General features: G+C 43.8%; 1 protein-coding gene and 1 long non-coding RNA gene across 4 annotated transcripts in view; one reads left to right on the top strand and one right to left on the bottom strand.

Annotated features, from left to right (window-relative positions):
* On the bottom strand, window positions 1–13,821 carry LOC124900596 (uncharacterized). Of its 2 annotated transcripts, none has more exons than XR_927898.3 (3): window positions 10,039–10,120; window positions 2,472–2,558; window positions 1–86 (listed from the first exon to the last, which is right to left on the bottom strand). It is a non-coding gene; the product is annotated as an uncharacterized LOC124900596 (long non-coding RNA). The 2 variants fall into 2 exon arrangements; XR_927899.3 differs by lacking the exon at window positions 10,039–10,120 and adding an exon at window positions 13,783–13,821 and having other exon boundaries at window positions 9–86; window positions 2,413–2,558.
* The window catches only part of WNT2 (Wnt family member 2), a 47,608-nt gene that overhangs the window by 22,111 nt on the left and 11,474 nt on the right, over window positions 1–14,023 (top strand). For both annotated transcript variants that reach the window (NR_024047.2, NM_003391.3), the window contains exon 4: window positions 3,072–3,336. Coding sequence is in view for 1 of the 2 variants with exons in the window: in NM_003391.3 (NP_003382.1) it covers window positions 3,072–3,336 (265 nt within the window). In the remaining variant the exon portion in view is untranslated. The remainder of the gene's footprint in view (window positions 1–3,071; window positions 3,337–14,023) is intronic.

Here is a 14,023-nt window from a genome sequence, read left to right as displayed (position 1 = left end):
TCACATCTGTCAAGTGTGCCTGCAGCTTGCTGCCTGTCGGCATTGCTGCCCTCAGGTTGCAGAGAGGCTGCTGCAGAAACCAGCATCTAGAGACAGAGACAAGGTATTTCTTCTTATGTGACTCTTTTATTTTATTATATGTTATTTTTGAGACAAGGTCTCACTCTGTCACCCAGGCTGGAGTACAGTGATGCAATCATAGCTCACTGCAGCCTCAAACACCAGACTCAAGCGATCCTCCCACCTCAGCCTCCTGAGTAGCTGAGACCATAGGCACGTGCCACCACCTCCGGCTAGTTTTTTCTTTTTTTGTAGAAACAGGGTCTCACTGTGATGCCCAGGCTGTTCTTGAACTCCTGGGATCAAGTGATCCTTTTGCCTCAGCCTCCCAAAGTGCTGGGATTACAGGCATAAGCCACCGTGCCCCCACCTCACGTGTCTCTTTTAAAGAGTGAAGAAACATGGCCAGGTACGATGGCTCACGCCTGTAATCCCAACACTTTGGGAGGCTGAGGCAGGTGGATCAAAAGGTCAAGAGATCAAGACCATCCTGGCCAACATGGTGAAACCCCATCTCTACTAAAAATACAAAACTTAGCCAGGCGTGGTGACCCGCGCCTGTAGTCCCAGCTATTCGGGAGGCTGAGGCAGTAGAATCGCTTGAACCAGGGAGGCATAGGTTGCAGTGAGCTGAGATCGCGCCACTGCACTCCACCCTGGCAACAGAGCAAGACACAGTCTCAAAAACACAATAAATAAATAAAAAATAAAGAGTGAAGAAACTTTTTTTTTACAAGACTCCTAAGAGATTTCTCCTATCATAGGATTGGCCCAAACTGAATCAGCACATGCTCCAAGCTGGAAAAAAGTTAGTGGCAAGACAGTGAAATTACTATTAGCGATTTAGACTACTCTGGGGTCAGAAGTCATTTGTAACACAAGGCTGCCCAACATCTGAACAAAAACTGTTAGCAAGGAAGGGAGGAGGTTGCACAGATGATCCTGTCACCACCACATGTTTTTTTAAGGATTTATAATGTTATTTTTAAGATCCAATTTTAAATTAATATGCAAATTCTTCAATTAATTGTATAAAAATATCAGTTTTGAAGTTTATGATCTGGAAATTCAATACTAGAAAGGGAGGGCAGACCAGATGCATTGGCTCACACCTATAATCCCTCACCATTTTGGGAGGCTGAGATGGGAAGATTACCTGAACTCAAGACTTAGGGACCAGCCTCAGCAACACAGTGAGACCCCCATCTCTACAAAATATTTTTTAAAATTAGCTGGGCATGGTGGCATGCACCTGTAGTCCTAGCTATGCAGGAGCCTGAGGCAGGAGGATCGCTTGAGCCCAGGAGTTCAAGGCCGCAGTGAGCTACAGTCACACCACTCCACTCCAGCCTGGGCAGCAGGGTGAGATTCTGTCTCAAAAAAAAAAAAAAAAGAAAGAAAGAAAGAAGAGGAGGAGCAGTAATATTTCCTGTCATTTTTAAAGCTAGGGATATTACTTATGATTAAATAACCTAGATTTAAAAAGAATAAACTTGGAAGAATGAGCATTCATATTTAATTCCTAAGTACTTGATGTGGAGTGAGTTTTGTGTGGTGCTCTCCAAGATCTTAGGAGGGACAGCTCCTGGACAGGTGAGAGCCACATGGGGAAGAGTGGTGGAGCCCAGATGGCACTCCCAGGGTTGTGTCTGTGGCAGAGGCCTGCCATCCAGGCCATCCTGTGAGCTTCCTACCAAACACTCATAATATAAAGATGGGGGTGGGGCACATGGGGCAGTGTAATTCCGAAGAGGAATTTCATTCTAAGACATCCTTTAAAGATGCCCAGGTCCCTGTAACTGGGAGAGCCAAGCTAAGCACATGCTTCCTGCTCACTTCTCCATCCTTGCCCTCCAGGGGTGGCTCGTGCTGAGGAGGATAAATTTCAAATGTAGTGGGTACCCCATCCACAACGGAGGTGGGGGTAAAGTGGGAAAAACACCTAGTGCCAAGGCCCGACCTGGGGAGAGTGGGAGTGAATTCTTATTACTGAGCTTGGGCAAGTCACCTGCCTTCCCCATCCCTGGTTCCTCATCTATAAAATGGGAAGAGCAGTAGATCAAAGTTGTTGTGAGGACCAGGAGTGCTAATAATCTCTTCACTTGAGTGAGCAAAGGAGAAAATGGGCCAGGGCAGGATAACTCTCACCAAATTGCTTTGGGGAAAGTGCTGCTCTGCTGGCTCATGAAAACAAAGCAGAAGCTTCCCTGGAAGTTTCAGGCCCACCTGTCCCCTCTCCTCTCCACAGGCCTCGCACCCACAGAAAAGGGGTCTCTATATTGGGAGCCAGCCGAGATGAGCTTGTCCCAGTTTCCTTTGCTTCCTGTCTAAGAAAGATCAAAGCAAACCCACCCCTGTCATCTAAGCTGAATCTCCCCAAGTTACTGTCAGCCTCAGGGTCACTAACTGACTTTGCAGTACAGCCTGGCTCTGTCTTTTCCTGGCTGTGTAACTTTGGGTGAGTGCTTCCACCTCTCTCAGCCTTGCTTCTCGGTCATCTGCAAAATAAATACAGTAGCATAGAATTGCTATAGTACAATTACCCTGATTGGTTTATTGCAGGATTCGGACTTAGCAGTTATTTTGTTAATTTAATTTGCATAATACATACATTTTTATATTATTTTATTTTAAACTGGACAGCATTAATTGGATAGTATACATTTTTAATATAATAAAGCTCTATTTATTTAGAAAATAATTCAATCCCTCACTCTTCTAACTGGCCACATGCCCTGTTAAATTGTGAGGTTTCTGTTATACTGATAGCCAGTGGGGTACACAGTTAGGTGCTATCCCTCCCCTCTCCACCCACTGCCCCTGCCTGCTGCAGTCAGGGCAGGTGGCTAATGTGGCTAACAAGTGACAAGCAATGCTTCAACATTTCCCAGTCACTTGCCCCAGGATCCAGCATCCTGAGAATCACTTCTGGATTGCTGGGAGGTAAGGAGAGTTGGAGCATGTGTCACCTGCTCGAACCTCACTGAACTTGCCCCTGTCTTTTTCGGCAGGCTGTAAAGCGGTTCTTGAAACAAGAGTGCAAGTGCCACGGGGTGAGCGGCTCATGTACTCTCAGGACATGCTGGCTGGCCATGGCCGACTTCAGGAAAACGGGCGATTATCTCTGGAGGAAGTACAATGGGGCCATCCAGGTGGTCATGAACCAGGATGGCACAGGTTTCACTGTGGCTAACGAGAGGTTTAAGAAGCCAACGAAAAATGACCTCGTGTATTTTGAGAATTCTCCAGACTACTGTATCAGGGACCGAGAGGCAGGTAAGTTCAAAAGACTTTCTTTATAGTACCTAATTCTTTCAACAATTGATACTCCACAATTTAAATGAGGTTCTGTATTTTCAGCCTGCTCTCTTTAGGTTCAAAGCTCACGATCCTTATCATTCTTATTGAAACTGTACAGGGCTGGGCGCGGTGGCTCATGCCTGTAATCCCAGCACTTTGGGAGGCCGAAATGGGCAGATTGCTTGAGCTCAGGAGTTCAAGAAAAGCCTGGGCAACTCCATCTCTACCAAAAATGCAAAAAATTAGCTGGGCATGGTGGTGCGCATCTGTGGTCCAGCTACTCAGGAGGCTGAGGTGCACTCCAGCCTGGGTGACAGAGTGAACTCCATCTCAAAAAAAGAATAAAGAAAAGAAAAGAAACTGCACAGAGAGCTCTCCTAAGCAACTGGAGAAATGGATTGACAGTGCACAGATTCTGGAGAAATTGAAACCCCACAATGTCCAGGGCAAAAAGTCAAGATACGCAGATTAGCAAAATTCTTCAGCCTGGGCAGATTTCTAGTTAGTGGACTATGCACACTAGGGAGAGCAGCCCAGCATCTTTCATGTGATCCTGAAGCTGAGAGCAGGATACATTAAATCCCACCACTGTGACTATGGAAAATGGTCCCAGGGCTTTAAATTTAGACTCTTCTGAAATCTGCCCTACTTCACCTTCCCTGCTCTTTTCAATATGCTTAGAAATTGCCAAAGATAAAAAGCAAGAATGTATCCCCACTCTCTTGGCTATAGGTGGGCAGTGTATAATAAAGGCTGTGTCAGAGGCCCTTCATTTATTAAAGCCACACCATTCCCTTCCAGATGGTACCTTCTCCATCCCTCAAAGAACAGCTCTGTCAGCCTCAACACCGCAGCTGTCCCACCTATCAGGTTTACACATGTTCATGCTCTACCTCTCACTCCTCTTGATCAACCCTGAGCTCCAGGTTTAGCTCATTCTTTGTAAAGATTCTAGTGCAAAATAAGAATGAGTACAAGTCTAAATTCATAGGAGGTGATGGGAGTCCACAGCCCAAGTCAATTTCTAAGACTTGGTAGAAAGCAAAGGAATTCATTATCAGAAAAAAAAATCCTCTTAGAGTCTGATTTTTTTTTATTTCAAAATAATTGCAGAGGCACCAATAAAATGGTATGGATGGCAGCCAGCTGTCAGTTAGATTGACCAAGAGGCAAAGTTACCAGGGAATGTCACAAGGAAGCCAAAGCCTTTTTTTGCCCCTGAGTGGTTGAATTGCCTTCATGGTTTGATGAGCTAGTTCTCCGCAGCATTTGAGCAGGTTGCTACATGCAGCCCAGGGATTAATGACAACGGAGCAGAGGACCAGATGCTGTGCCCCGCTGCATTCCTGACATGCTTTGGGACCTCTAACAAGTCATCCTACCTGTCAGGCCAAAGTTATAGCCAAATCACCATGAAACCTGTGCTTGGATACAGGATTGTCCCAGGGGTCTGACCCCCCTCTACCAGTCACTAGCTGTTTAACCTCAGCCTCCTCACACTGAGCATGGAGATGCTGCTGTCTTGATCATTTAAGTCCTATGCATTGACTCCTGTGCACTGGGTACTGGGCTGAGATCATTGCACACATGGTCTTATTTTATCCTTACAGTAGGATCCTTACAGCAGCCCTATGACAGCAATACATTGAAACTTGTTACTAACCAGAAAAAATTGAATAAGAGGTGGCTCCTAGATGATCAACACCAACCAAGAACCACGTTCACATCTTACTTTTTAAGTCAGATAAGCAACCCTAGATATCACCTTCTCCATTGTACAGATAAGAAAAGTGAATGACCTGCTCACGATCTCACCGGTAGGAGAGGGTGGATGTCTGATCCCTTGGCCTGTGCTTTGACCCATTAGACAGTTGCTCCTGCCTGCCTCCAAGGACACATATGTGAAAAGGCCTTGGGGAGCAAAAACCTTATTTCAAATATAAGAGGACCCTCTTCCCCAGCATGTCTTTTCTGGTTCTTTGGATTGAAGCAGTTTGCACAGGGAAGCAGGCTGGTGTACCTGAGGAATATGTACTGCCTTAGGTATAACAGGTATGACATTTATTGTCAATGAAATATAGACCATATTTTTTTTTACCCCACAGAGGTGATTCTGAATCTAATCCCTGCTGCCTCTTCAAGTTACTAAGTTATTCTTGCGTACTCCGCTTTTTCAACTCTTTGTATTAGAAAGAAATTCTCTTTCTTAATCCTAAAATAGCAGATATATCTGTAGTACCCATCACATGCCAGAGCTGCAGCTACATTCTCTCATTGACTCTCACAGAAAGTCTATAAGGTGAGTATGTTATTATCCCATTTTATGGGAGGACACTGAAGCTCTAAGAGGTTAAAGATTTTCCCTACCCACTTGTGGTTAGTAAGAGGCAGATCAGGGACTTAAACCTGAGCCTGGCTGTCTCGTCTCATCTCATCTTGTCTCGTCTCATCTCATCTCGTCTCGTCTCGTCTCTCTTCTCTTCTCTTTTCTTTTTTTGAGACAGAGTCTCGCTCTGTTGGCCAGGCTGGAGTGCAGTGGCACAATTTTGGCTCACTGCAACCTCCGCCTCCTGGGCTCAAGCAATTCTCCTGCCTCAGCCTCCCAAGTAGCTGTGATTACAGGCATGTGTCACCACGACTGGGTAATTTTTGTATTTTTAGTAGAGACGGGGTTTCACCATGTTGGCCAGGCTGGTCTCAAACTCCTGACCTCAAGTGATCCACCTGCCTCAGCCTCCCAAAGTGCTGGGATTACAGGCGTGAGCCACTGCACCTGGCTGTGGCTGTCTTTTCAACAACGATTTTACTCTGCCTCTCGCTGCACACAGCCGCAGGTGCTGGCTTTCTGAAGAAAGCTATATAACTTACTTTCTCTCTTATCTGTCTTCTGTCTTAGACAAATTTTAGCTTATCTGACTTTAAAAAATTTGAAATTGGTTCTCAGTTGGTGTTGATTAACCAAGATCTACCCTATTCTTTTTTTTTTTTTTTTTTAGTTGCCAGTTCCAATATATTGGATCAGATTTCCAGTAAGATTCCTAGATTATTTATAAATTATTTGAACTGTACTTAGTTAATGTCCTTTTTGGCTGAGCCTAAGAAAATGCCAAAGTGGTTGGTGCAAACCTTGCAATATTTCTTTTTAATTCTGTTGACCATCAGATGATTATTTTAGTAAAAATATGATTTAGGATATTTGATATTATGCAAGCACAAGTCCAGATAGTTAAAATTTTTTTATTGTATATATTTGGAGTCATATGCAATTAGCCACATGTATGAGATGTATGAGATGCAAGTTTTATCTGAGAAAACCTGCTTCCATCCATATGGCTGCTGAGGGCCTTGCTCTTGGTTATGTGACCAATGGCCTTTTAAGGATGAGGCTTGGCCAGGCACAGTGGCTCATGCCTATAATCCCAGCACCTTGGGAGACTGAGGCGGGAGGATCACTTGAGGCCAGGAGTTCAAACTCAGCCTGGGTAACATAGTGAGAGACCCCATCTCTAAAAAATAAAAAATAAATAAAGTTGAGGTTTTATCCTGGCCACTTTCTACTAGAAATTTCTGTAGCATGTGCTCTAGCAAGTCAGTCATCCTGGAGAGAACAGAGTCATCCTGGAGTGTCCTCTAACCTCTGGTTAGTAGAGGCAGGGGGTGTAACAGAGAATCTGAGACCTGTAAGAAGGGGCCTTAAAGCTGCCTTTCACTCAGTGGGATCTGGGAGCCTCTCTCTTCTCAAAATGAAGGTGTTGGGTCAGTGTATCATCTTCTCAGTCTGCACTGGAGAGCTACCAGCATGCACACATTATTGAGTAAGCACACCACCGAGGCCCCCAACCCCACCGTGCTAAAATCCTATTGCATTAGGAAAGGCCTATTTTCTGGTGAACGGAACTCTCACGTGTTCAAAATGGGCTATCATCCTGGGATAGCCAGGCTCCAAAACAAGTCAAAAGTTTGCAGTCAAATTTAAATCAAGTAATTAATATAGAATTTCTTGTTTTTCATTTTCTCTTTTAAAATCAGCATTAACCCTTCCTGACATTGCATCTCATACTGCTCACTCTACTTCGTTGTGGTTATTTTGTTTGGTTTTGCTTCTTTCTTTGCTTTCCATCATTGCTTTTGTTTTTAAATCGTGCACACTTAATATTCAACTTAGTGGGCGCCTTCTACTTGCCAGCACTGGGGAAGCGATGGTGGTGAGCAGGTTGAACATTATTAGGGAATCAGTATTTGGAACTGACTGGCTTTACTCTTGCTGGTCAGCAACTGCTTCCTGTCCAAGGTAGCTTGTTGACTGATGTGAGCTGGCTTGTTTTATCAATTAGGTTTGTGCAACTGATGCAGTCTACAGGTCTGGTCTACTTTTTTCCAAAGGAAGTGGCTCTTCAGAAACCTATTGAACCAGCATCTTAGGGAGCTGTTCCCGAAATTATATAAGTTTCTCTGTTTTTCATCATTTTAATTTTTTTTTTATTGCTCTGTTGCCCAGACTGCAGTAGCACCATCGTGGCTTACCGCAGGCTCCGACTCCTGAGCTCAAGTGATCCTCTCACCTGAGCTTCCCAAGTGGCTGAGTCCACTGGCACTGCCTCTGCAAACTTTTCAAACTTAAACACCTCAAAGTTTGAAAAATCAGTGATTTAGGCAGTGTATGATTCCTAATTTTCCCTAATTATTAGGCAAGAAGAAATTCAGGGAGACATGAGTTTCATATATATATGTTTTTTCAGTACCTGATTTCTTGCTAAGGAAAACTAGATAACTCTAAATAAACATCTCCCAAAAAACATCTCCCACCATGTCTTGCCCAGTATAAGAGAGTCATTCTTTCACTCCTAGGCCAGCATCCTCAGGAACCCTCTTTGACTGCAAATAAACAAAATTATTTCAGCCATCAAAGCTTTTACTGACAGCAGTTACCAAGTCAGCCTCTAGAGAAGTCCTGAAGTAACGCTACTAGGCTAGTGAACTTTGATGCGAAAAATTGCAGAGTCGAGACCCCAGGTTATTCCTGGATGGGGACAGACCTAGCTGGAGAAGGATGCGAGAACATTTGTTGATTTCCTGCTGCGAGTCAGGCCCTGCGCTACACACCTTATGTACATATGCTCTGACTCTTCAAGGCAATTACCTCCATTTATAGAGAAGGAAAGTGAGGTTCCGCAAAGTTACTTAACTTGCCCAAGATGGCATGGCCTGTGAGAATAAAAAAAATAAAAACAAAAACCCATACCTTTCTCACTGTGCCACTTACGTCCCAGTGTGTGTGTGTGTGTGTGTGTGTGAGTGTGGTTGGGAGTAGGTCCTGTGTGATGAAGAGGCAGCATGAGGACATGGGAACTTTATGGGGTGAGGTGCCCACAAAGAGGGGAGGTCAAAAGTAATCAGAATCAAGCTTCACCCACATTTTGGTTAGGTTGCCTTGAAGCCCTTTTCAATTACAAGCCCCTCAGATTTTCAAAAGCGTCAATGCCTTTGATTGCTCCTAAGAAATAGAAAGCTGGCCAGGGGCAGTGGCTCATGCCTGTAATCCCAGCACTCTGGGAGGCCGAGGAGGGCGGCTCACCTGAGTTTGGGAGTTCGAGACCAGCCTGACCAACATGAACAAACCCCATCTCTACTAAAAATACAAAATTAGCCAGGCGTGGTGGTGCATGCCTGTAATCCCAGCTACTCGGGAGGCTGAGTCAGGAGAATTGCTTGAACCTGGGAGGTGGAGGTTGTGGTGAGCCGAGATCACACCATTGCACTCCAGCCTGGGCAGCAAGAGTGAAACTCTGTCTCAAAAAAAAAGAGAAAAGAAATAGTAAGCTTAAAAACCAATTAAGGAAGATATTATTATGGCAAGAACAACAGCAAAAGACATTTTCCTCTAGTCTTCAACTGAAGAAAGTGAGTGCTCTGAGGTTCAACTATAATTACTCGCCCCATGCAGCTCAGATCTGAAGAGTACGTACAACCGTGTGATGTTGTGCATGTGACATTTTGCAGGCCAAATTGGAGGCTAGATCTTGGAAGCTGGACTGTCTGGGATGAGTATCCTGGTGGCTCTATAGTTATCTACTCTGGTTACTGCTCCAGGCATCTGTAAATCAAAGAAGCCCTTAAGGTACAGATAGGTTCATCTCTAACTGAGGAATGCTGCTGCTCTCCCCTCCAGAGAATGCGTCTGCACCTAATCACAGGCCACTTTCACTAGTTATGATGTAAAAACCCTGACCTGGGCCAGAGGTCACCCTGAGGTCTCCTCTCCAACTGCAGGAAACAAGCCACACTCCACCTCTTCTCCAGTCAAGTTCAAAAAACAAACGGAGCTCAGTCATTGTTTAATTTGTTGCCTGCGAAAAACCCAAAAGCCTGGTTGACAACTCCAGGCTGTGAATGGTGTAAGCACCGAGGTATCACATTTTTCCCCCACATAAATCATATTTGGCAAACAGAACTCAGAACCCATGGGTACACAATCCCAATCATGGTTTTCAGAGACTGGTGTTCTCTCATGCCCAGTGGTGTGGCCTACTTTGCAGAAGCTCATGAATGCCGGGATTGTGTCCCACCAGCTGATTAAAAACAAGGGAACATGTTTTTAATGATTAAACATGATTAAAAATATGTCAGCCAATAGCAATGGGTGGATCTTACTTAGATACTAATATGTGAAGTTCTAACCTGTACACCTTAAGTCCCTCATTTCTTCATTGCACAAATATTGATTGAGATCCTCCTATGTGCCAGACACTCTTATAATCACTGGGAACGCAGGATTGAGGAAAACAGACTCAGTCCTTATCCTCGTGGTGTCATCGACTTCATGGTCCTTGAAGCAGTAGCCAGGCACTGGGACACAGTCTAGGTGCTGGAGAACCCTCACACTGGGGCAGGAAAGTGGTGGTGTTTAGGTTTCAGTCCTTGTTGCATTGCTCTGTTATAAGGTCTTATCTTATATATGTCATTTTGACAAGGTAAAGAATAAGTTATTCATCTCCTTCTGCTTTGACACTTATAGAAATTCATGGATTGATATCTAAAAGGTGCTAAGATAGCTAGACCAGAAGAGAATTGTAGAAAAAAATGTTTCACTGAGGCTTATAAGTCACCATTTTCATGGGTAGTTATTGATTATACTCTAGAATTAGTAGTAATTACTATCCATTGAGCCTTCTTTTCAAACTCTTTAGTGGCATATAGTATAATTAGCCTTTCCCTCCTTCCCAAAACAGTCTTATTTCCTTGACTTTATAACTACACTCCTCTGCTTTTCCTCCTGCTCCAATAACTAGTCCTTTCTGATTTCAGTTGCTAGTTTCTCCTTCTCCAAATTTTGAAGATCTTCCAGGCTGTCTGAACTCTCTTTGCTCTCTCTCTGTACTTTCTCCCTGGTTTGGTCTCTCCATTCCTATGGTTTTAAATGCTGTCCCTGTCCTTGTCTGCCTTCTGTACCATCATCCTGTATCCAATTCCCTGCTTGACAGCTTCACCCAGATTTCATACAATTATATCAACCTGCTTCTGCTTAAAACTGGACTCCTTATTTGCCCTGTCCCCTGAAACTTGTTTTCCCCCAGCCCTCCTCATCTCAGAAAATGGTACTGCCTGCCACCCACTTCCATGGTCAAGCATAAACCTGCGAGTCATTCCTTACACTCCTTCCTTGTCACCTCCATCATCCCGGGTACCACTGGGACCTCTTAAATGTGTCAAGGACCTATCTGCTTCTCCATCCTTACTACCAACCCCTAGGTCCAAACAGAGCTATGTTCTTTTGAGCATAGCATGTGCCACAGTGTGTATAGCGAATTTGTATAAACATGTGTTTGTGACCTGCCTGTACCAATGGAGTCCACTGAGGATCCTGTGACGGCAGGAACTGTATCTGCCTTGCTCACTAGTTCCCCAACTCCTAGTACACAAACATGTGTTGAAGTGAATTGAATGGCAAATTATAAAAAAACATAAAACAGTTTCATTAGATTAGCTGCATTCTTCTGTGTGTTAGCGCTGCTTCATAGCTTAAAGATAACTTGGTTCCTTTGAAGGGGATTACTAGGCACATCTCCACCCAGCACTGCTTAGCTTTTAACTCACAGCCTATGAAAATTCCCATTTAAGCTTAAGTGTTCAATGGAATTTTTCCTCATATTCAGGCGCATTCATGAGGCATTTATGGAGTTTCAGATGTTGCTTGCCTGGCTATTCCCCTGGAGATAAAAAGTCTCAAGTGGGCCGGGCGCAGTGGCTCACGCCTGTAATACTAGCACTTTGGGAGGCCGAGGCAGGAGGATCATGAGGTCAGGAGATCAAGACCATCCTGGCTAACACGGGGAAACCCCGTCTCTACTAAAAATACAAAAAAATTAGCCGGGCGTTGTGGTGGGCGCCTGTAGTCCCAGCTACTCAGGAGGCTGACAGGAGAATAGCGTGAACCTGGGAGGCAGAGCTTGCAGTGAGCCGAGATTGTGCCACTGAACTCCAGCCTGAGCAACAGAGCAAGACTCTGTCTCAAAAAAAAAAAAAAAAAAAAAAAAAAGTCTAACGTGAACTAATGCATCAGCAGACTATATCTATCGCTTTTAACTGGCAGCAGAGACTCAGTTCTTTTACTCTTGGAGGGGCATTTTTCACTCACTACTATCAGTGGCCTCCCTGAGTAGTTCCTAATTCTCATATTAACAGCAAAAATACTTTTCACATCCAATGCTCTTTGATGTTGTAGGCAGAATCTATAAATCTGTGTTATTTTTAAAATACAAACTTAGTAGAATTACTATATTTTTAGGATACACTAAAATGTGCCTTAATTTGAATTGACAGTGGTAATCAGATTGAATTGTGAATACTGAAAAAAGGATTTTTTTTCTAAAAAAAAAGATACTTTTCAGGAAAAAAATGTTTATTTTCTTATTTCTAATTCTTTGACATAGTTTGAACTACTGACAAATACTTTACCAAATAGATGCCCTTTTATCTTTGTATTTTGGAAATAGAAACTACTCATTTCGAATTACCAATTAAATGTGTTGCAAACAAAAGGATGACGTTAAAATACTTTAAAATAACAAATTTGCTTACTTCATTTAAGCTTTCCCCATGACACCTATTTTGTACTGGTAAATATCTTTTTTAAAGATATGCAAATTTCATATTATTAGGGAAAGAGCCCTGTGTGATCTATAAGGAGACTTTGGTGCTACAGATTGCTGCATATCACTATTTCTCCAATTGGACTAATGGGCAAATTAACTTCTCTGGGTCTCTTAAGAAATGGCTGTTTCATCTAGCAATTTCTAAGGTTCCTTTGATTCAGTAAGTGAATGAATTAATTATTAAGTTTAATTAAGTTTGCAATAACAGAACCTTAAATTGATACCACAAACTTTCTTAAGTTGTCATTTTTAATTTCTATCATTTAAAAATGTGCCACGTTTTTGGTATGTGTTTTCCATATACCAAGCAAGATCATTTTAACAGAGCCAAGGTTTAGCTGGTCTGCTGCCACCATGGTGCCTGAAGACTGGGTGACCAGTCCCTGGAGAAATGTGCCCTCATCAGGCAAAAGGAAAGCTGATCTTAATTTTTTTTTTTCTTTTCCCTGAGACGGAGTCTTGCTCTGTCACCTAGGCTGGAGTACAATGGCCCAATCTCAGCTCACTGCAACCTCTGCCTTCTGGGTTCAAACGATTCTCCTGCCTCAGCCTCCCGAGTAGCTGGGATTACAGGTGTCCACCACCATGGCCAGCTAATTTTTGTATTTTTAGTAGAGATGGGGTTTCACCATGTTGGCCAGGCTGGTCTTGAACTCCTGACCTCAAGTGATCTGCCCACCTTGACCTCCCAAAGTGCTGATATTACAAGCATGAGCCACCACACCCAGCCTTGATCTAAATTTTTAAGACACTATTTTTAATGTAATATTTAATAAATCAGCACATATGTGTTGACCACACAGTATATAGAAGAAAGCATAAGAAGAAAGCATAAGACCCAACCCCTGTCCCTGGGGAGACAAGATGCATGAAAAAATGATCAAATATTTCCAAACAGTGCATGAACCCTGTGGCGTGATGTGCATTACAGGCCTAATGAAGGAGGTTAGCTGGGCTTGCAGACCGAAAGTGCTGTATAGAAAATGCTGAAGTAGGCCTGAATCTGGAAGGATGGGAAGACTTCTGATGGAAGGAGTTACAGGAAAGGCCAATGCAGCAGATGAGAGTAACTTTTTGTTTTTGTTTTTGTTTTGAGACAGTCTCGCTCTGTCGCCCAGGCTGGAGTAGAGTGGCACGACCTTGGCTCACTGCAACCTCCACCTCCTGGGTTCAAGCGATTCTCCTGCCTCAGCCTCCTGAGTAGCTGGGACTACAGGCACGCCACCATGCCCAGCTAATTTTTGTATTTTTAATAGGGACAGGGTCTCACCATGTTGGCCAAGATGGTCTCGATCTCATGAACTTGTGATCCGCCTGCCTTGGCCTCCCAAAGTGCTGGGATTACAGGTGTGAGCCACCGTGCCCGGCCGAGAGTAACTCTTATGAGGAAACAGTCTACATGACTGTGACATCAGAAAGTCACCTCAGTGGGACAGTGAAGAGATACCCTGGTTAGCAGGTATAGGTGGACTACAGTGGGAAATAGCTTTGAGTAGGCTATGTAGTGCCAG

Source organism: Homo sapiens, chromosome 7 (assembly GCF_000001405.40).
Source record: "Homo sapiens chromosome 7, GRCh38.p14 Primary Assembly".
Taxonomy (NCBI): Eukaryota; Metazoa; Chordata; class Mammalia; order Primates; family Hominidae; genus Homo; species Homo sapiens.
The sequence above is the reverse complement of the archived record's forward strand: the minus strand, read 5'-3'. Positions and strand labels throughout refer to the sequence as shown.